Source organism: Homo sapiens, chromosome 7 (assembly GCF_000001405.40).
Source record: "Homo sapiens chromosome 7, GRCh38.p14 Primary Assembly".
Lineage (NCBI taxonomy): Eukaryota > Metazoa > Chordata > Mammalia > Primates > Hominidae > Homo > Homo sapiens.
This window is the reverse complement of record NC_000007.14, coordinates 129,665,913-129,689,172: the sequence shown is the minus strand read 5'-3', so window position 1 is coordinate 129,689,172 and position 23,260 is coordinate 129,665,913. Positions and strand designations below refer to the sequence as shown.

The following is a 23,260-nucleotide window of genomic DNA, read 5'->3' as shown; positions in this document are numbered from 1 at the left end:
AGGTCAATAACTAAGGGGATAAGAGAAAAATAGCACAAACTGGTAGACTCATTATCTTTCCAGAGATTCAGTTGTATCCTGGTCTCTAATAAAAAATAAAGTTTCAAAAATTATTGCCATTATATTTATTGCAACATAAGCAGCTGATGTTGCCACAGCAACTTTACAGGATTGTATTTTCTGCTATGTTCCTGTAGTCTAGATAGTATTTATGCTGCCTACTCACACACACACACACACAAATGAATCTTATAAGCCTAGTGATATGGTTTGGCTCTATGTCCCCACCCAAATTTCATCTTGATTGTAATTCCTACATTCTGAGGGAGGGACCTGGTGGGAGGTGACTGGATCATGGGGGCAGTTTCTCCCATGTTGTTCTCGTGATAGTGAGTTCTCATAAGAGCTGATGGTTTAAAAGTGTTTGGCAGTTCCACCGGCATTCCCTCTCCGCACCTGTCTCTCTTTGTCTCTCTCTCTGTCTCTCTCCTGCCACTATGTAAGACGTGCCTTGCTTCCCCTTCTGCCATGATTGTTAAGTTTCCTGAAGCCTCCCTAGCCATGTGGAACTGTAAGTCAATTAAACCTCTTTTATTTATAAATTACCCAGTCACAGTTAGTTCTTTATAGCAGTGTGAAAACGGACTAATACACCTAGCTTCTGGTCTTAGAACTTTAAGGTTTATAAGGTTAAATCCTTCTATTAGGTATAAGCCAATAGGAAGAATGATCATATTAGAAAAACAGGCTGTGTGCAGTGGCTCACACCTGTAATCCCAGCACATTGGGAAGTTGAGGCAGGCAGATCCCTTGAGCCCAGGAGTTTGAGACCAGCCTAGGCAACATGGTGAGACCCTGTGTCTACTAAAAATACAAAAATTAGCCAGGCATGGTAGTGCGCACCTGTGGTCCCAGCTACTCGGGAGGCTGAGGTAGGAGGATGGCTTAAGCCCAGGAGGTGGAGGTTGCAGTGAGCCAAGATAGTGCCACTCCAGCCAGGGTGACAGAGCCAGACCTTGTCTCAAAAATAAATAATTTTAAAATAAAAACAAACTTCATCTGGCTTTTAGAAACACCTGGCATTCAAAAATGGAAAATCATTAGGTTACTACTTCTTTATTAGCCAGTTTCAAACAATTTCAGCCATTTTTATGAGTCAGCTTATCAGTGCTATATAATTCTTTTAAAACATCTTTTGTTTGTTTGTTTTTTAGTGCTAGTAGAGCATCCCTAAGTAATTTGCAACAAAACAACTTCAGGTATTACCAAAGCATTTCTATCTAAGCTTGCTTACTAAAGTTAAGTAACCTTCTCAGAATTACTGACCTCATGTTTTAATTCTATCTGATCTATCAATTCTGAGATGCATTTTTCTTTCATATTTATCAGTCTTCTGAAATTGGGATACATCTTAAAATTGCTATGGACAAGGCAACAACAGGGCATAGCTGTCATTGCCTGCAGCCATGTGAACATGTTTGCTATCCCTGGCCTTTTTACTCAACAAATCATTTAGCACCATTTCAGAAGAGAATGTGAGTCTTGGCTGTTGTCTACTACCTTCCCAATGACAATTTCTGTTAAGATCAAGAAGCATCGCCAGGCACGGTGGCTCACGCCTGTAATCCCAGCACTTTGGGAGGCCGAGGCGGGCAGATCACCTGAGGTCAGAAGTTCGAGACCAGCCTGACCAACATGGTGAAACCCTGTCTATACTAAAAATACAAAAATTAGCTGGGCGTGGTGGTGGGCGCCTGTAATCCCAGCTACTTGGGAGGCTGAGGTAGGAGAATTGCTTGAACCCGGGAGGTGGAGGTTGCAGTGAGCTGAGATTTGCACCATTGTACTCCAGCCTGGGCAACAGGGTGAGACTCCGCCTCAAAAAAAAAAAAAAAAGGACTTGCATCAAACCTGTTGCTGCTTGGGGGCAAAAATTCAGACAATAACAGAGCACTTTTTAAAGAAATATAGCATTGCCTGTTTTCATGATGGCACAGAGGACAATATTACATGAAAAAACACAGACAATGATGACTGAAACAAGAAGTAATTCAAAAGGGTTGGACTCTGAATGTGAAGAAGTTTTAGGAATACCTTATTTCACTTACATTTTCCTTTTTATATATGTATACAAAAATGATATATGATTAAAAGCTATGTCTAAGCCTTGAAAGAGCTCTTTCAATAAGTAGAAAATAAAAATTCTAAGTGATAGCATTGTGTCAACATTTATCAATGTTTTTTCTTTCTTCATAGTACACAAATAACAGCACATCTTATAATCAATGGTGTCACAGATGAGATAAAATACAGGTTTGTGTTCCAACTTATGCCTCCTATTCCAAAAACCATAGCTTACGCCTTTGTCACTTCATACCAACATGTCAATTGGTTGCACAACTAAGGTAAACAACCACTTAAATCAAAATCAGTTACCATTCTCTTGCCTCAATTCATCTTGTATACCACTGCCATTTGAAATTTTGGAAACACTTATTGTCATCAAACACCGTTTATTGAGCACTTACTTTGTGCCAAGCACTACATGTGTTGTCTCAAATAATCCTTACCATAATTCTATAAGGAAAATATTATGTTCATTTTGCAAATAAGAAAACTGAGGCTTAATAAACTTAAGTAACTTTCTCCAAATCATATTAACTAGTAAGAAGTGTAGCCAAAAATCAAACAAATTTTTATGTAGCTCTAAAGCTGGTATATTTAGCCACATCACTATCATTTATCTTTTTTTCTCAAGAAACTGCTATAGTTCCTCACTTCTTATAGGACAAAGTCCAAGTTTCTCTGGCCAGCATTTCAATCTTTCCAATTATTTATTTTTCCAATACTCCTTTGCCAGAGCCTCCAGATAAAGTTGTGCCTGCCTAACCCTGGAGACTATGTGAATGACACCTCTTGAGCTCCCAGCATACAACCTCCATGGAGTCCTATACTGAGCAACTTTGCTCACCTTCTTCCTTCTTTAGCTGCCCAACCTCGTCGCTCACCTTGGCATCTAGCAAGTTCTCTTCTTTGAAACTTCTAAAGACCTTTTTTTTTTTTTTTTTTTTGAGATACAGTCCTACTCTGTTGCCTAGGCTGGAGTGCAGTGGTGTGATCTCGGCTCACTGCCACCTCCATCTCCTGGGTTCAAGAGATTCTCCTGCCTCAGCCTCCTGAGTAGCCAGGATTACAGGTGCCTGCCACCATGCCCGGCTATTTTTTTGCATTTTTAGTACAGACAGGGTTTCAACCAGGCTGGTCTCAAACTCCTGACCTCAAGTGATCTGCCCACCTAGACCTCCCAAAGTGCTGGGATTACAGACATGAGCCACCACATAAATCTGCTTCTTATCCAAATATTTTCCATTTTTCTAGGCCCAATTCAATTCCCACTTGCTCTGAAAAAACTTCCCAAGTATCCTTGCCATAATTCTCTTCCTCCTTTAAATTCCTACTGACACAAATAAACATGTGTCACTTATACTGTTATTTCCAGAATACACTATACACAACCAGTGCATGACATTGCTGAGCATAGGGACCAGGTCTTTTGCTTATTTTTCATACACACACACACACACACACACACACACACACACACACACACACACACTTGAATGAGACAGGGTCTTACATGTTGCCCAGGCTGAAATATAAAATATTTTAAATATACATATACAGGTAACACATTAACAAACATTTTATAATTACCAGAGATGGAGGGTGTTTAGGGTATTTGCAGGAGCCATTAGAGTTTTATTTTGTTTTGTTCTTTGAAACAAGGTCTTGCTCTGTCACGCAGGTTTGTTCACTGCAGCCTCGAATTCCTGAGCTCCAGTGATCCTCCCACCTCAGCCTCCCAAGTAGCTGGGATCACAGGTGTGTGCCACCACACTTGGCTAATTTTCAAAATGTTTGCTATAAGGTCACTGGGCCTTCAGTTGGGTTGCAAAAATAGTCCCAGACAAGATACCATAATTTTTTTGTATTCCTGAAGCTTAACTGGATAAAGGAAGAGTCTTTGGGAAGGTCTCATAAAAAAAATTTTTTTTTAAATTTTCTACAAGCTCCTATGAGACTAAAAACACATTATCATCTGAGGTATGTAACAAAGAGCTGCTGCCCTCAGACCTGTGACTGTGAAGCACATCTGGCTTCCAGCCAGGCTGCAGGCTGTGGCCCCTGAAGTTATGTTGACTTCATCCTATTGTCTCTCCAGCCCCAGTGTCTGCCTCCTTTGTTCTCCTGCCTCAGTTCAGGGCTCTCATTTCCCCTTAGTCCTTTGGGATTCCCAGTTTTGAACCCTGAAACCCCAAAGGACTCAGATGGAATCCTTATCTCATACCTTGTATCCAATAGTGTTAAATAGTTATATGTTGACGAAGTAAATACATGAGCAACGGGGCTTTCACTATACTACTTTCCACATATCTTCCACATTGCATGCAACTCCCACGGTTCTTCATTGCCCTAAAGACAATGATTATTTATCATTAATCATTAGGGAAATGAAAATCAAAATTTGATTATTAATGATAAATGACTATAATAAGACTAGGGTATAAGATTAGGGAATTATTTGTACCTTAAATGTTTAACAGAAGTCAACCAAAATAATTGGGGCCTAGGGTCTCTTTGAGGGATGTAGTTCTTTAATCACTTTTCCAATTTTGTATATGTTTATTACTCTATTGAGGTTTTCGGTTAATATTTATTCTGAGGTTTGGATGTGTTTTGGTTATTTTATTTTCTTACTAAGTTAATCCACTTGGCTGAGATTTTAACTTGCAAGAACAGAACTAATACATAGCCTTTTCTTACAATTTTCAATCTCTTCTTGTCTGCAATTACAGCTATCTTGTTTCTAAAGCTACGTATTAGTTTTCTTCTCCCTTTTCCTCATTAGCATGTAGCAGTTTTTCTGTTTTATCAGACTTTTTATAGAACCAATTCTTGAATTTAACAAGTCTACTTTTCCCTGTTCGCTAACTCATTCATTTCTTTCACGTTTATTTATTCTATTTTTTCTTAGACTTATTTTATTATTCTCTTTCTACCTTCTTTAGCTAGATGGAGTTTCTTTCTTTTCCAACTTTCTCATATAAATTTTTTTGAAAATAAGACAATGAATATTCCTTTGAATACCAGTTTAGATAATACCTTCTAAGTTTTTATTTTTGGTTATCATTTTTGTTTCTAAATAACCTGTAAATTAAGATTTTCTTTTAAAAATTTCCAGCCAGGAGGGGTGGCTCACGCCTGTAATCCCAGCACTTTGGGAGGCTGAGGCAGGAGGATCACCTGAGGTTAGGAGTTCAAGACCAGCCTGGCCAACATGGTGAAGCCTCCTCTCTAGTAAAAATACAAAAATTAGCCGGGCATGGTGGCAGGAGCCTGTAATCCCAACTACTCGGAGGCTGAGGCAGAGAATTGCTTGAACCTGGGAGGCAAAGGCTGCAGTGAGCCGAGATCGCACCACTGCACTCTAGCCTGGGTGATAGAGTGAGACTCCATCTCAAAAAAAAAAAAAAAAAAATTCCGGCCAGTTGTGGTGGCTCATGCCTGTAATCGCAGCACTTTGGGAAGCCGAGGCAGGTGGATTACCTGAGGTCTGGAGTTTGAGACCAGCCTGGCCAACATGGTGAAACCCCGTCTCTAGTAAAAACATAAAAAATAGCCGGGCATGGTGGCACGCACCTGTAATCCCAGCTACTCAGGAGGCTGAAGCAGGGAGAATCACTTGAACACAGGAAGCAGAGGTTGCAGTTAGCTGAGATCGCACCATTGCACTCTAGCCTGGGCAATAGAGCAAGTCTCTCTCTTTCTCTCTCTCTCTCTCTCTCTCTCTCACACACACACACACACACACACACACACACACTCTCCACATGATTGAAATTTTTTTCTTGTCTTTTGAAATTCTAAAATTCTGAATTTTCTGTACTATGATCAGAAAATATTCTCTGGGGCCAGGGCTGGTGGCTCACACCTATAATCCCAACGCTTTGGGAGGCCAAGGCAGGCAAATCACTTGAGGTCAGGAGTTCAAGACCAGCCCGGCCAACATGGTGAAACCCTGTCTGTACTAAAAATATAAAAATTAGCCAGCTACTCAGGAGGCTGAGGCAGGAGAACTGTTTGAACTGGTGAGGCAGAGGTTGCAGTGAGCTGAGACTGCACCACTGCACTCCAGCCTGGGCAACAGAACAAGATCTTGTTTCAAAAAAAAAATTATTTGAGGCCTGGTAGTAATAAATGGTCAATTCTTATAATCCATTTATGTAATTTTTCAAATATGATATATTTATCCCCTTGTAAGGTGTCAATGCTCCTGTATCTATTGTATCAGCTTCTTTTGTTTGTTTTTTGGGCCATTGTCTCACTCTGTCACCCAGGCTGGAGCACAGTGGAATAATCATAGTTCACTGCATCCTTGAACTCCTAGGCTCAAGTAATCCTCCTGCCTCAGCATCTCAAATAGCTGGGATTACAAGTGCACACCACCACACCCAGATCCTTTTTTTTTTTTTTTTTTTTTTACATTTTTTTGCAGAGACAGGGTCTCACTATGTTGCCTAGACTGTCAACCTTATTAAATCTGTTATTCAGATCTCTATATTCTTGTTTATATTTTGCTTTGTTGATCTGGCAAGGATAGTAAATCCTCTTACTATCATTGCGGGGTTTTTTTGTTTTGTTTTTTTTTTCCTTTGGGACAGGGTCTTGCTCTGTCATCCAGGCTAGAGTGCAGTGGTGCAATCACAGCTCACTGCAGACTTGACCTCTGGGCTCAAGCAATCTTCACATCTCAGCCTCCCAAGAAGCTAAGATTATAAGCATGTGCTACCACATCTGGCTAATTTTTAAATTTTTTGTAGAGATGAAGTCTCATTATGTTGCCTGGGCTGGTCTCAAACTCCTGGCCTCAACCAATCCTCCCACCTCAGCTCCCAAAGTGCTGGGATTATACATATGTGCCACCATGCCCCCCCATGGTGGGTTTTAACTATCTTTTTTCCTTACATTTCTAACTTTTTGATCTACATGCTTGGGTATGTATATATGTCTGGTTGACTGACTAACTGATTGAGACAGGGTCTCACTCTGTCACCCAGGCTGGAGTGCAGTGGCATCATTATGGCTCACTGTAGCCTTGATCTCCTGGGCTCAAGCAATCCTCCTGCCTCAGCCTCCCAAGTAGCTGGGAGTACAGATGTGGGCCAGTATGCCTGGCTTTTTTTTTTTTTGTAGAGATGAGGTCCCACTATGTTGCCCAGGCTTGTCTTGAACTCTTGGCCTCAAGCAATCCTCCCACCTCAGCCTTCCAAGTGCTGGGATTACAGGCATGAGCCACTGTACCTGACCCCATGTTTTGCTTTAAAGTTACTTGAAGAATATAAAGGTTCATGATAAATATGTACTTCTTATCTTAGCTGGGTGTGGCGGCACCTGCCTATAGTTCCAGCTACTCAGGAGGCTGAGGCGGGAGGATCGCTTGAACCCAAGAGGAGGAGATTGCAGTGAGCTGAGATTGTGCCACTACACTCTAAGGTGGGCAACTGAGTGCGACCTTGTCTCTAAATAAATAAATTAATAAATAAATACTTCTTATCAATATTAAATGACCCCTGGTTGCCAGTTAATACTTTTTTGCCTTGACAATTAGGCTTTGTCTGATATTAATGCCGTGATCCATGATTTATTTTTGTAGGCATTTTTCTGACAAACTTTTGCCTGTTATTTTACATTCAACATTTGTAACAGATTTACTGATACATAGTTCACACACCATATGTATTTGTTTCCTATGGCTCCCACAAATCACCACAAACTGGGTGGTTTAAACCCATACAAATTTATTTTCTTGGTTTCACTTGGCTAAAGTCAAGGTGTTGGCAGGGCCAGGTCCTTCTGCAGTCTCTAAGGGAGCATCTCTAAGACAGAATTGTTTCTTTGCCTTGTCTAGCTTCTGTCTAGCCTGTATCACTGGCTCCGGACCCCCTCCTTGCATCCAACCTCTTGCTTCCACCAACACATCTACTTCTATGCCAATCTCCCTTTGCTTCCCTCTTATAAAGACACTTGTGATTACATTTAGGGCCTACCTGGATAATCGAGAATAATCTCCCCATTCAAGACCCTTTTAATTACAACTGCACTTTTGCTGTATAAGGTAATAGTCACAGGTTCCAGGGATGGGACCTGCACATCTCTGGGGGTCATTATTTAGTTTGTCATACCATACAATTCACCCATTTAAAGGGTAAGACTTTATACTCATAGGGTCCTAAAATTACCACCAAAATCTAATTTTAGAGCATTTCATTCCACCTAAAAGAAACCCCATGCCCACTGGCGTCACTCTCTTCCCCTTCCCCAGTCTCTGGCAACCACTAATCCACTCTCTCTCTATAAATAAGATTTATCTATCCTGGACATTGCATATAAATGGAATCATACAACATGTGATCTTTTGTGACTGGGTTCTTTTGCTTAGCACAATGTTTTAAAGGTTCATCCATGCTGTAGTATAATATCAGTACTTCTTCCCTTTTTCTTGCTGAATAATATTCCATCCTATGGATATGCCACATTTTATTTATCCATTCATCAGCCGATGAACATTTGAGTTGTTTCCACTTTTTGGCAATTATAAATAATGCTGCTATAAACACTGTATACAAGTTTGTGTATGAACATATGCTTTCAGTTCTCTTGGGTATAACTTAGGAATAGAACTGCTAGGACACATGGCAACTTTACTTTTACCATTTTGAGAGACTGACAAATTGTTTTCCAAAGCAGCTGTACCATTTTGCTTTTTCTTTCTCCAAATCTTCACCAACTTCACCATCCCTGTGGGTATGAAGAGGTATCTTACTGTGGTTTTTATTTTCATTTCCCTAATGACTATGATTATTAATCATCAGCATTAGGGAAATGAAAATCGAAATGTGATTATTAATGATAAATGACTATAATAATGATTAATGATAAATAATTATTTATCATTAGTTCTCATGTGCTTGTTGGACATTTCTACATCTTCTTTGAAGAAATATCTATTCAGACCTTTTGCCTATTTTTATTTTTATTATTATTATTTTTTTGAGACAGAGTCTGGCTGTGTTGCCCAGGCTGGAGTGCAGTGGCATGTGATCTGGGCTCACTGCAACCTCTGCCTCCTGGGTTCAAGAGATTTTCCTGCCTCAGCCTCCAGAGTAGCTGGGATTACAGGCGCCCGCCACCACGTCTGGCTAATTTTTGTATTTTTAGTAGAGATGGGGTTTCACCATATTGGCCAGGCTGGTCTTGAACTCCTGACTTCAAGTGATCTACCCACCTTGGCCTCCCAAAGTGCTAGGATTACAGGCGTGAGCCACTGTGTGTGGCCCTTTTGCCTATTTTTAAATTGGGTTGTCTTTCTTTTCTTTCTTTCTTTTTTTTGAGATGGAGTCTTGATCTGTTGCCCAGGCTGGAGTGCAGTGGCACGATCTTGGCTCACTGCAACCTCTGCCTCCTGGGTTCAAGAGATTCTTCTGCCTCAGCCTCCCGAGTAGCTGGGACTACAGGCATGTGCCACCAGGCCCGGCTAAGTTTTTTTGTATTTTTAGTAGAGATGGGGTTTCACCATATTGGCCAGGCTGGTCTCGAACTCCTGACCTCATGATCTGCCTGCTTTTTATTGTTGAGTTGTAAGAATTCTTTATATATTCTCAATATATATCAGTTTTTTTATCAGACATATCAGAATTCTTTATATATTCTCTACATATGATAAAAGTTTTTTTATCAGACATGATTTGCAAATATTTCTCCCACTCTGCATGTTGTCTTTTCACTTTCTTGATTCTATTACTTGCAGCTGCTTTTAACATTTGTGAGTGGCTGTGAGTATGACACATACATTGAATAGAGGAAGGTTTGATTTGGATTGTTGTTCCAACCTGAAAGAACATCTATGCCTTTAACAAGGCACTTTAACCCATTTATATGTATGGTTTATAACAGAATTAACTGGCCTCACTTGTATTATTGTGTTCTAGACTATGTGTTTTATTCAGTTTTTAAACATTTCTTCCTTGTTTTCTATCTTTTATACAGAGACTTGGTTTTGTTTTTTTTCTTCGGTGCTCTGGAAGATATATTCTGCTTCTAATTTTACTGGTACTTGCAAGTCCCTAACCTGTATTTATCAATGTCAGTCAAAGGTAAAATGCTTTTTATCTCAGTCTAGTGCATCCTGTTTAACAGAGTCTATATCTTCTTGTATTCTATGGAGGACTCCAACAGTTTCCCAAAACTTAAAAAGTTTTTTTTGCAGTGAGTAATTTTCTGAAGTATTTTTCTGAGTCTTCTAGATGAATCTTTTTCATAGATTGCATCATCTTTACTACTACCAGTAGTAGTATTGTTTTAGATTTTCAGTACTAAAGAAGAGAAGAAATGCCCAGATTTCATGTTTGTCAACAGTGTGACAGTAAAGGCTATTTCTCAGGCACCATTTTGAACTAGGAGCCTTCTACTATATTCTTCTAAGGAAAGGTCCTAACACATCCTAATTGTAGGGCTTCAGGAATTTTTGGAAAAACTCAAAACAGAACTCAAAAATGTTAAGAAATACCCACAACATTTCAGGGACAGGAAGATGGTGTGAAAAAAATACAACAAACAGAATTTCGATCAATTGATTACTAATTCTGAACTCAAAAAATGCCTATATTCAATATGGGAGACATCTAATAAATGTCATTTTAAGCTAATAAATTTTACCCTAATAAAAACAAAATGCAATTTAAATCTTTACAGATCATTAATCTACTAATGATTCAAAGTTAATTTGGCGCAAGAAAGAATAGTTCCTATTGTATAAGTATGCAGGGGCAAAAGACTATTTTTATAAAATTAGCTCTGGATAGTTATACAATCAAAATGTTCAAATATAGTTCTATATTTGGAGCACAGTATTAAATCAATTCTTTGATAAATGTAAGATATTTCAAATATGTAACTCAAATAAACTGATCAATAAAATGCCCCCAGGTTTCCCTCAGGAAGTTGACACCTTGGAATTATCTATTATTTTGTTTCTGATATAAATCAGTAATTTTCTTAGAAAATCCTGCATTGGTTTCCTAACAAACAAAACACCTTGTTTCCCCGCCCCCTCCCCCCTTCCCCCGGCCACCCATTGCATCTGGGGAGGTAAAATACCTTGACGTAGGAAGTAAAAAGAGTAATGATCATTTTGTTTTGATATGCATAAAGCAGTCTGAAAACTAGTCCCCACTCCCATGCCTGGATTAGGGGGTAACAGAAATGCCAACTGTTATACTTGACAGAGGATCAGAAGAATGGAAGCAGCCGACAGAAAGCAAAGGGCAAATGAGAACAGCTTGGTTCTGACTTACCACATTCTCCAAAGGTGCTGCACCAAACACTTTAAAGACAGGGTTAGGTTTGGAGGGTGAGATACAGAGGACAATAGCTTGCTGTCCCACACGAGTAGTATATTCATCTAACGTGGCTCGAAGTTTCCTGAATCAGAAAAGGAAACAAGAATAAAAAGTTTTAAAAAGACGGAAATTACAGTGACATAGACACAAATGAGGTAAGACAGTTTATTCTGATCAGATATGCTCTTTTACGTAAAATGTGAAAAGGGGAATGTGAGGTTTGCTATCCTATTCAGCAGAAATATGTACATACCTTTTTCTTAAAGACTACTGATAGAAGGCTCAACTGAAGGTTTTGCTTTGGGACATAGCCATGACACAATTTTGAACATGGTATCATTCTTCTTGATCTGAGCAACATCACTTACTGCTACTTACAATTATAAAGATTACAACTGGCCAGGCATGGTGGCTCATGCCTGCTGTAATCCCAGCACTTTGGGAGGCCAAGGCAGGCGGATCACTTGAGGCCACGAGTTCGAGACCAGCCTGGCCAACATGGTGTAAAACCCGTCTCTACTAAAAATACAAAAACATTACCCAGACATGGTGGCACACGCCTGTAATCCTAGATTCTTGGGAGGCTGAGGCACGAGAATTGCTTGAATCCAGGAGGTGGAGGTTGCAGTGAACCAAGATGGTGCCACTGCACTCCAGCCTGAGCAACAGAGCAAGACTTTTTCTCAAAAAAAAAAAAAAAAAAAAATGCAACCAAGATGTGCTCTTACAGAATTTATTATATCATCTCCATGCTTAATAAAAGGGGTTCAAATGATTTGCTTTTACTATCTTTTATTGATTGTTTATATCTCATTGTTTATATTTCATTGAGATAATTTTGTCCAAAAATACTACAAGCATACCTAGTTTTATTGTGCTTTGTTATTTTGTGTTTCACAGATACTATCTGGGATCTTTCTTTAAAACAAATTAAAGGTTTGTGGCAACCCTATGTCAAGCAAGTTGATCAGTGCCATTTTTTTCCAACAGCATGTGCTCACTTCGTGTCTCTGTGTCACATTTTGGTAACTCTAGCAATATTTCAAACTTCTTCATTATTATAATCTGTTATAGTGATCTGTGATCAGTGATCTTCGATGTTACTATTTTAATTGTTTTGGGGCACGACAGTGCCCACAAAAGATGGCAAACTTGACTGATAAATGTTGTGTGTGTTCTGAATGCCCCACTGACCAACTGTTTCCTGCCTCTCTCCCACTCCTCAGGCCTTCCTGTTCCCTGAGACACAGTATTGAAATTAGGCCAACTGATAACCCTACAATGGCCTCTAAGTGTTCAACTTTAAGGAAGAGTCGCACATCTCCCACTTTTAATCAAAAGCTAGACATGACTAAGCTTAGTGAGGAAGGCATGTTGAAAGCCAAGATAGGCTGACAGCAAGGCCGCTTATGCCAAACAGTTGGCCACGTTGTTAATGCAAAGAAAAGTCCTTGAGGGAAATTACAAATGCTACTCCAATGAACACACAAATGATAAGAAAGCAAAACAGTTTTATTGCTGATATGGAGAAAGTTTTAGTGGTCCGGATAAAAGATCAAACCAGCCACAACATTCTCATAGGCCAAAGCCTAATGCAGAGCAAAGCCCTGACTCTTTCAGAGGTTGGTTCATGAGGTTCAAGGAAAGAAGCCATCTCCATTACATAAAAGTACAAAGTGAAGCTGCAAGTGCTGATGTAGAAGCTGGAGCAAGTTATCCAGAAGATCTAGATAAGTGGCTACACTAAACAACAGATTTTCAATGTAGATAAAACAGCCTTCTACTGGAAGAAGATACAATCTAGGACTTTCCTAGCTAGAGAGGAGAAGTCAATGCCAGGTTTCAAAGCTTCAAAGGACAGGTTGACTCTCTTGTTAGGGGCTAATGCAGCTAGTGACTTTAGGGTCCTTTAAAAATCATGCTAAATCTACTCTGCCTGTCCTCTATAAATAGAACAATAAAACCTGGATGGCAGTACATCTGTTTACAGCATGGTTTATGGAATATTTTAAGACCACTGTTGAGACCCACTGCTCAGAAAAAAAAATTCCTTTCAAACTATTGTTGCACATTGACAATGCACCTAGTCACCCAAGAGCTCTAACGGAGACGTACAAGGAGATTAATGCTGTTTTCATGCCTGCTAAGATAACATCCATTCTGCAGCCCATGGATCAAGGAGTCATTTCAACATTCAGGTCTTTTTATGTAAGAAATACATTTTGAAAGGATATAGCTGCTATAGTGATTCCTCTGATGGATCTGGGTAAAATAAATTGAAAACCTTCTAGAACGGATTCACCATTCAAGATGCCATTAAGAGTACTTGTAATTCATGTGCAAGTACATGGGAGGAGGTCAAACTATCAACATTAATGGAAGTTTGGAAGAACTTGATTCCAAGCCTTACGGATGATTTTAAGGAGTTCAACACTTCAGTGGAGGAAGTAACTGCGGATGCAGTAGAAACAGTGAAAGAACCAGAATTAAAAGTGGACCCTGAAAATGGGACTGAATTGCTACAATATCATGATAAAATTCCAATGGATGAGAGGTGCTTCTTATTGATGAGCAAAGAAAGCGGTTTCCTGAGATGAAATCCACTCCTGATGAAGATGTTATGTATATTGTTGAAATGACAATAAAAGATTTAGAATATTACACAAACTGAATTTATGAAGCAGCAGCAGAGTTGGAGGGGATTAACTCCAATTTTGAAAGTCTTACTGTGGGTAAAATGCTATCAAACAGCACCACGTTACAGAGAAATCGTTCAGGAAAGGAAGAGTCAATCGATAGGGCAAAATTTGTTGTATTATTTTTAAGAAATTGCCGCAGCCACCCCAACCTTCAGCAACAACCACCCTGATCAGTCAGCAGTCATCAACATCGAGGCAAGACCGTCAACCAGCAATAAGATTATGAGTCACTGCAGGCTCAGATGAGCCCTAACATCTTTTAGCAATTAAGTGTTTTAGTGGTCAGGCCCAGTGGCTCACACCTGTAATCCCAGCACTTTGGGAGGTTGAGGTGGGAGGATTGCTTGAGCCCAGGAGTTCAAGCCCAGCCTGGGCAACATAGTGAGACCCCGTCTTTACAGAAAGAAGAAAAAATTCGCCAGGTATGGTGACATGCACCTATTGTCCCAACTACTTGGGAGGCTAAGTGAGAGGATCACTTGAGCCCAGGAGATTGAGGCTGCAGTGAGCCATGATCACACCACTGCACTCTAGCTTGGACAGCAGAGCTAGACTCTGTCTCCAAAAAAAAAGTATTTTAAAATTACGGTATGTACATTGCTTTTTTTTTTTAGATATAATACCACTGCAACACTTAACAGAGTATAGTGTTAACACAACTTTTTTATGTACTGAGAAACCAAAAAATTTCTGTGACTTATTGTGATACTTGCTTTATTGTAGTGGTCTGGAACCAAACCTGCAATATCTCTGAGGTATACCTATGCTTTTAAAATGTTGTAGCTTCAGATTTTCATTGTGATATAAATAATTATTCTTAGTCCTACAGTATTTCACAAGTGAGGATGAAATGAAAACAGCTTTTTTTTTTTTTTAGATGGAGTTTCACTCTGTCGCCTAGGCTAAAGTACAGTGGTGCGATCTCGGCTCACTGCAGCCTCCGCCTCCTGGGTTAAAGCTATTCTCCTGCCTCAGCCTCCCGACTAGCTGGGATTGTAGGTGCCTGCCACCATGCCTGGCTTATATTTTCTATTTTTAGTAGAGATGGGGTTTCACCATGGTGGCCAAGCTGGTCTCAAACTCCCGACCTCAGGTGATCCGCCCACCTCGGCCTCCCAAAGTGCTGGGATTATAGGCATGAGCCACCATGCCCAGCCAAAAACAGCTTAAAAAAATTTTTTTTTAATTTTACTTTAAGTTCTGGGATACATGTGCAGGTTTGTTACAAAGGTATACATGTGACATGGTGGTCTGCTGCACCCATCAAACCGAAAACAGCTTTTTTTTTTTTTTTTTTTGAGACGGAGTCTCGCTCTGTCGCCCAGGCGGGAGTGCTGTGGCGCGATCTCCGCTCACTGCAAGCTCCGCCTCCCGGGTTCACGCCATTCTCCTGCCTCAGCCTCCCGAGTAGCTGGGACTACAGGCGCCCGCCACTGCGCCCGGCTAATTTTTTGTATTTTTAGTAGAGACGAGGTTTCACCATGGTCTCGATCTCCTGACCTCGTGATCCGCCCGCCTCGGCCTCCCAAAGTGCTGGGATTACAGGCGTGAGCCACCGCGCCCGACCCCGAAAACAGCTTTTTAAAATATAGTAACAATGGATGAAACAGAAACACTGCCTCTTCCCTCTGAAATCATGGGAGATGATTTCAAAGTTCTACATTTCAGAATTCTGAAATGTGGTGGGCAAAGGACCACTTATCAAACAAGAAATCTGATGGAATTCCTTGAAACAATGGTTTATATTCACTGTCTCCAATTCCTCTCTCCCTATTCTCTCTTAAAGCTATTCCAATCTTTTCACCCTTACCACTCCTTTGAATATACTCTTGTCAAGTTCAATCATGAACTCCATGTTACTAAATCTAATAGTCAGTTGGCATCTTTTTCAACCCATCAGCAGCATTTGATAGCTGATCACATGCTCTCCTTCCTGACACACTTTTTGTACCTGGTTTCCAGGATACCACTCTCTTGGTTTGTTTCCTGACTCACTGGTTGCTTCTTAGATTCTTTTGCTGGTTCCTTTAATCTCTCTAACCTCTAAAAGGTGGAGTGCTTCAGGCCTCAGTCCATACTCACTCCCTAAGTGACCTCATCCAGTCTCCTAGTTCTAAATACTACCTATATGCTTATAATATCTTCAGCTAAGGCCTCTCATTTCAATTCCAGACTCATATATCCAACTGCTTATTTTGTATCTCCACTTAATGGTTAGAGGCATCACAAACTTACCATGTCCAAAACCAAATTCCTGATTCTGCCTCACCCTCACTGCCATGCTCGCTCCTCCTCCAGTAAATGTCATCGCAATCCTTCTAGTAATCAGACCAAAAATCACCCAGCACTCCTTTCTCTCAAACTCCATGTCAATGAATCATGATGAGTTGACTTTCGAAATACATCTAGAACCTGATCACTTCTTACTATCCATGATGCTGCCATGTTGGTTTTAAGACACTATCATTTCTGGCCTAGATTACTATAATCACCACCTAATTGGTCTCCCTGATTCCATTCTTGTATCCCCACAGTCTATTCTCAACACAGTAGCCTGAGTGATTCTTTAAAAATATAAGTCAGATGATACTACTGCTCTGGTCAAAAGCCTACAATGACATCTCATCTCACTCAGAGTAAGAGTCAAGCCCCTGATATTGGACTATAAGATCTCCTAGGCTGGGTGAAGTGACCCACACCTGTAATCCCAGCATTTTGGGGGCTGAGGCACGAGGATCGCTTGAGGCCAGGAGTCCCAGACCAGCCTGGACAACATAGCAAGACCACATCTATCAAAAAAAAAAAAAAAAAAAAGATCTCCTGGCGTGGCTCTTCTCTACTGCTCTGAACATCCTCTCATATCTCCCTGGCTGTTCCTCAAACACAACTACCACATTCACACCTCGGGGCCTTTGCTCTTGATACTCACCCTGCCTGAGATGTTCTTCCCCCCAGCATCAACATGTGTGCTCTTTCAGCACCTTCAAGTCTCTGTTCAAAGGCTGCCTTAACAAAAAGGATTTCCCAGACCATCCCCGTAATAGAGAAAACTGACTATATCCCCCTACCTCCTGACTTTTCTATTTTCCTTACTCCACTGTATTTTTTTCCCATTGCACTTATCATCAGCTGACATATTGCATATTGTTTTTTTCTTTCCCCCTCTAGCAGGATACAAGCTCTTTAAGGCAATTTGTTTTGTTCACTCTTCCATGCCCAATGTCTACAACAATGGCTTGCACATAGCAGGCATACAACTTTTCTGAATGAATTAATGTGATATTACGTATCTGTTAAATCGTATTTCTTTGTTTTCATGCATTTAATTTTGTAAGAATACTTTTAAGTCTACATCTGTCATCAAGGAATCGAACCAAGCATCCTTGACAAACCTAATCACATATGTTCTAAGTCTGTCATCCACAGGAAGTATTTGAGGAATAGTAACAATATGGATAAGGGAGCCCTCACCGAAGCAAACGTGTTTGTTGCCTCTTCCGGATAGATGGATTAGACTCAAATACATGAGGCCGTTTCCGTTTCTTTCCTGTTGCCACAGCAGCAGCAGCGGCCATTCCCACAGGACCTGAAATAATAACGTATGTGCTGAGATTAGGCAGCTGCCTGTAAACTGTTCAAGACAGAAACAATTAAAGGTACAAAAAAGGTAGCACTGCTTTCCTAATATTGTTGTCGGTAAATAAAGAATGATCCTGATATTATCAATATACTTCACTATTGTTTAACATGATTCATATTATGATTTACCAATAAAACATACAATGAATCTTTTAAAAAAGCAAATGACTTACACCTCCCCATCACACACTAGTTTGAATTTTGTATAATGTTGTTTTTCTTTGGCTTTGTTTTGCCAGCATGCCCATACTGTAAAGGCAATATTCTTAGAGGTGCTAGGAAAAATTGTAGCACTGAGAGGAGAAGTTTGCCAAAATTGAAAAAATTTACAGATTTCAGTATTTACTTCTATCCCTGTACCCCTGTTTCCATTACTCCAAGACAATGCCAAGTTAAGGAAGTTGGAGATAATCACTCACATTTGGAACTCCAACAACACCTAAAGGAGTATCTGAATGAATAACATCTTAATTGAAAAAATTTTCTTCTACATCTGGGAATTGTGCCAAAAATGGAGATGTTCAACACAAGGTCAAGTTGATGAAGGCATTCTGGCAGAAAAGAGATAACTTTCCCACTCTGAGAAAATGTTAATAAAAGTTAGTCTGGCTTGCCTTGAAACTAATGTATAATGTCTTGTTTTGTCTTTTGAAGGGTAGATGGAGGGTAGACTCAAAGGAACTATTGAAGTCTCTGATTCCTGGGACCTCAACATATCAAAGACAATCTTTTTAAAAAGACATTTTACCTTTATCCTTATTTATGAATCTTGTAAAAGGCTTAAATAAAAATTAAATTGCTCATCTGTATATTGGCATATATATTCTAAGTGGCTCAAATAAAATAAACCTCCCTGTAAACCTAAATGAACTTTTCTACATGTTGTTAGTAATATAATCAGCCTGACTTAAACCCCTCTAAAGAACCTCAAAGCAAATAAAAAATAAGCAACTGCTTTTTACCTTTCTTTCCATCATAAATAGCTGTTACAGAAAAAATTTTATGGCTGCATTTACCAACATTTTACTTATTTTTCAAAATTGTGGTAAGAACACTTAACATGTTTGTTATCTACTCTCTTAAAATGTAAAGTGGACAACACATCATTGCTAACTATAAGCCCAATGTTGTACGGCTATCCAGAACTTATTCCCCTTGCATCACTGAAGAGCAACTCCCCATCTGTCCCTCACCCCCAGACCCTGGCAACCACCATTCTCCTCTGTTTCTATGACTATTTTAGATACCTTCTATAAGTAGAATCATGCAGTATTTGTCTTTCTATGACTGGTTTGTTTCACTTATCATAATGTCCCCAAGGTTGAACCATGTTGTCACATATGACAGCATTTCCTTGTGTTTTTAAGGGTGAATAATGTTCCATTGTACATACAGATCACATTTGCTTTAGCCATTCATCCGCTGGTGGGCATTTAGGCTATTTTCACATCTTGCTATTGTGAATAATACAACAATGAACAAGGGAGTGTGGATATCTCTTTGGGGTCCTGATTTCAATTCTGTTGGATAAATACCCAGAAGTGAGACACCAGGATCATATATGGTAGTTCTATTTTTAATTTTTTGGAGGAATCTCCATACTGTTTTCCAGAGCGGCTGGACCACTGTACATTCCCACCTATAGTATATAAGGGTTCCAGTTGCTCTACGACCTCACCGCCACTAGTTTATATTTTTGATAATAGTTGAGCATCTAACCTGTTGGTGATTTCTAAGTCTTCCTTACAGAGATGTTTATTCGAGTCCCTTGCCCATTTTTTATATTGAGTTATTTGGTTTCTTGCAGCTGAGTTGTAGGAGTCCAATATTTTATTATGAAAACTTAAAAACATATGTGCAAAGTTGAATTTTAACATCTTATTATACATATCTATCCATCGTTCTATCCATTCATCAACTCACACTGGGGTTTTTAAAATGTGTTTCAAAGCAAACTGCAAATATCAATATGATCCCCCTAAATACTTCAGCAGGCATAGCATTAGCTAGAGTTCAATATTTTATAATTTTTTTCTTTTGAGGTAAAATTTGCATATAGTGAAGTATACAAATCCAAGTATACATTCAATACATTTTAAAAATGTATATACTCATAAAACTCAAGATCTGGCCAGGCGCAGTGGCTCACACCTGTAATCTCAGCACTTTGGGAGGCTGAGGTGGGAGGATCACCTAAGGTCAGGAGTTTGAGACCAGCCTGGCCAATATGGTGAAACCCCATCTCTACTAAAAATACAAAATTAGCTGGGCATGGTGGTGCACCTCTGTAGTCCCAGCTACTCAGGAGACTGAGGCAGGAAAATCGCTTGAATCTGGGAGGTGGAGGTTGCAGTGAACCGAGATCACTCCACTGCACTCTGGCCTGGGTGAAGGAGCAAGACTCCGTCTCAAAAAAGGAGAGGAGACAGGAGGGGAGGGGAGGGGAAAGGAGAGGAAACTCAAGACCTATAACATCACTCCAGAAAGTCCTTTCATGTCCCTTCTCAGTCAATTCCCATCCTTACTTCTCAGCAATACCTAGAATTCTTCTTTTTTTCACCATACATTAGAGTTTTGCCTATTCTAGAGCTTTAAATAAATGGAATCATATAGTAAGTAGTAAATCATATAGTAATACTCTTTCACTTAAAACTTCACTTAGAATAATGTTTCTAGATTCATCCATGCTGCCACATGAACCAGTTGTTTTTTCCTTTTTGTTGCCAAGTAATATTCCATTGTTTGGATAAACCAGTTTGTTTACCTATTCTTCTATCTGATGGATACTTGGACTATTTCCAGTTTTAGGCTACTGTGCATAAAGCTGCTTGATTTGATTGATTTATAAATTTAATACAGTTCAAATAAAACTCTCAACATGGGATTTTGTGGAATTTGATAAACTGATCCCAGTATTTAAATAGAAGTGCAAATGGCCAAAAATAGCCAAAACAATTCATAAGATTTTAAGAATTTGAAGGCATTCATCCTACCACATATTAGTAATTACAAGGCTATACTCATTAAGGTTATATCTCCACTGATTAGAAGGATGAGATGAGATAAATAAATAAGAGCATAACTATAGTCATTAAACTAGTGTGGAACTGACTCAGGGATAGACAAATCAAAGCAACTGAATTGCAGATTTCATAAACATCCTCCTGTGTCAGAAAGATAAAAAAAAGTATGGGCTATTAAATATATGATGCTGGTTATCCATATGGAAAAATAATGAAATTAGATCCTTACATACAAAAATAAATTACAGGTGGATTAAAGGCCTAAATGTAAAACAATAACCTCAATAAAACAATGAAAAACAAAAGAAAGCTTGTAATCCAGCACTTTGGAAGGACAAGGCAGGAGGACTGCTTGAGGCCAGGAGTTCAAGACTAGCCTGGGCACCATAGCAAGACTCCGTATCTACAAAAAAATTTAAAACCAGGCATGGTGCTGCACACCTGAGGTCCCAGCTACTTGGGAGGCTGAGGCAGGAGGATCACTTGAGACTAAGAGTTTGAGGCTGCAGAGAACTATGATTGCATCACTGCACTCCAGCCTGGGTGACAGAGTAAGATCCTATCTCTAATAAATAAATAAATAAATAAATAAATAAATAAATAAATAAATACCTTTAAAATTGAAAATTAAAAAAATTATAACTTCTACAATAAACTACTATAGAATATTTTATAAAGTCAGAGTTAAGAAGAATTCCTTAAACAAGATCCCGAAAGGATAAACTATAAGGTAAAAGATTAATAAATTTCACAATAATATAAATAAAAACCTTCATGAACAAAAAAATAAATAAATGGGGGTGGGCAACAAACTGGGAGAAAATAATTACAATACATATTATTGGGAAAGGAATACAAAATATAGATCAATAATTTTTATAAATTGACATAAAAAAGACCAAAAAACTGAGTTGGGAAATGGGCAAAGGTATAAACAGGAAATAGGCAAAGAAAGAAAATTGAGACGTCAATAAAGATCCAAAATGGTGCTCTACTTTGTCTTACTGCACTCGCTGGAACCTCTAGCTCAAAAACACAAATTAAACCAACACTGAGATGCCATTTTATACCTACCAGATCTGCAAAAATGAAAAAGACTGGTAACACCGATGGTGAGAATGAGAAGTAACAGGCGCTACAGCATACTGCTTGTGGGGATGTAAATGAACAGGATTTGGAAAGACATTTAGCAATATCTAGTAAAGTTGAAAATGGACATCTTTGGCCCTCCAATTCCCCTCCTGGGTATATCTTCCAGTAGTACTTTTCAAGCTACAGCTAGTATGACCTTTCAGTGACTCATGAGTGTATTTTTTTCTAATAAAATAGAACAGACTAGAACATATCACAGAGTATACAATTTGCAGTAGGGGTTAAGTATTATTTCATTAAAAATTGTAGTTTTGGCTATATGTGTACTCATTTATTCTGGGTCACAATGTAAAATGTATTACTGTGCTACATTGTCAAAACAGAAAAAATTACAAACAACCTGATTATCTACCAATATGTGAAATATTCAGGCTGGATGCGGTGGCTCTCGCCTGTAATCCCAACACTTTGGGAGGCTGGGGTAGGCAGATCACTTGAGGTCAGGAGTTCGAGACCAGCCTGGCCAACATGGTAAACCCCATCTCTACTAAAAATACAAAAATTAGCCAGGTATGGTGGTGTGTGCCTCTAGTCCCAGCTACTCAGGAGGCTGAGGCAGGAGAATTGCTTGAACCCAGGAGGCAGAGGTTGCAGTGAGCAGAGATCGTGCCACTGCACTCCAGCCAGGGCAACAGAGTGAAACTCCATCTCAAAAAACAACAACAGAAAAAGAAATACTCAGATAATGAATGGAATACCATATAACAGTTAAAAACAGCCACATTATCAACATGGGTGAATCTCAGAAAAATGTTGAACGAGATAAACATATTACAGAAACATAGTATCAGAGTGATACCATTAATATAAAATTTAACACATGCAAAACAATGCTAAATATTGTTTAATCATACAGACACATAATAGCAAATATAGACAAATGCAAGAGAATGACAAAGACCAAATCTAGAATACTGGTTACCCCAGTGGAGGGAGGGAGGGAAGGGAGCAGGATTAGAAAGAGTTCCACTGAGAATTTCAACCATATCTGTACTTTTTATTTCTTAAAAAACATTTGATGCAAACATGTGAAAGCAGTAATAACTGACAAAGCTGGGCAGTGGGTGCACATGCATTTGTTATGTCAATCTTGATACTTCTCCATATGATTCAAATATTCAAGTATTTTCTACTTGCTGCACAATTTACCAAAACTATCACTCTCAAGATATTAATTACGTCTATAGACCACGTGAATCTTTCTCCACTTCTTTATTAACCTATCCTTTATCATTTCAAAGAAAATGAAATAATAAATCCAATTTTGTTTAAAAAGAAGTCCTCTAGG

The 23,260-nt window shown here is 39.2% G+C and overlaps 1 protein-coding gene across 4 annotated transcripts in view, besides 1 other annotated feature; it reads right to left on the bottom strand.

Moving 5' to 3' along the window:
• Positions 1-23,260, bottom strand: part of NRF1 (nuclear respiratory factor 1) — a 145,357-nt gene that overhangs the window by 67,904 nt on the left and 54,193 nt on the right. For 3 of the 4 annotated variants that reach the window (NM_001293163.2, NM_005011.5, NM_001040110.2), the window contains exons 3-4: positions 17,630-17,744; positions 11,415-11,541 (exon numbers count right to left, since the gene is read on the bottom strand). In NM_001293163.2, the coding sequence (NP_001280092.1) occupies positions 11,415-11,541; positions 17,630-17,744 (242 nt within the window). The remainder of the gene's footprint in view (positions 1-11,414; positions 11,542-17,629; positions 17,745-23,260) is intronic. The other variant, NM_001293164.2, reaches the window with a different exon arrangement.
• Positions 4,030-4,324: a silencer, noted in NCBI's record as "tiled region #6855; K562 Repressive DNase unmatched - State 15:Elon". NCBI's record gives its function as "represses a minimal TATA promoter and a strong SV40 promoter by Sharpr-MPRA in K562 cells {active_cell/tissue: K562}" and the evidence as "EXISTENCE:reporter gene assay evidence [ECO:0000049][PMID:27701403]".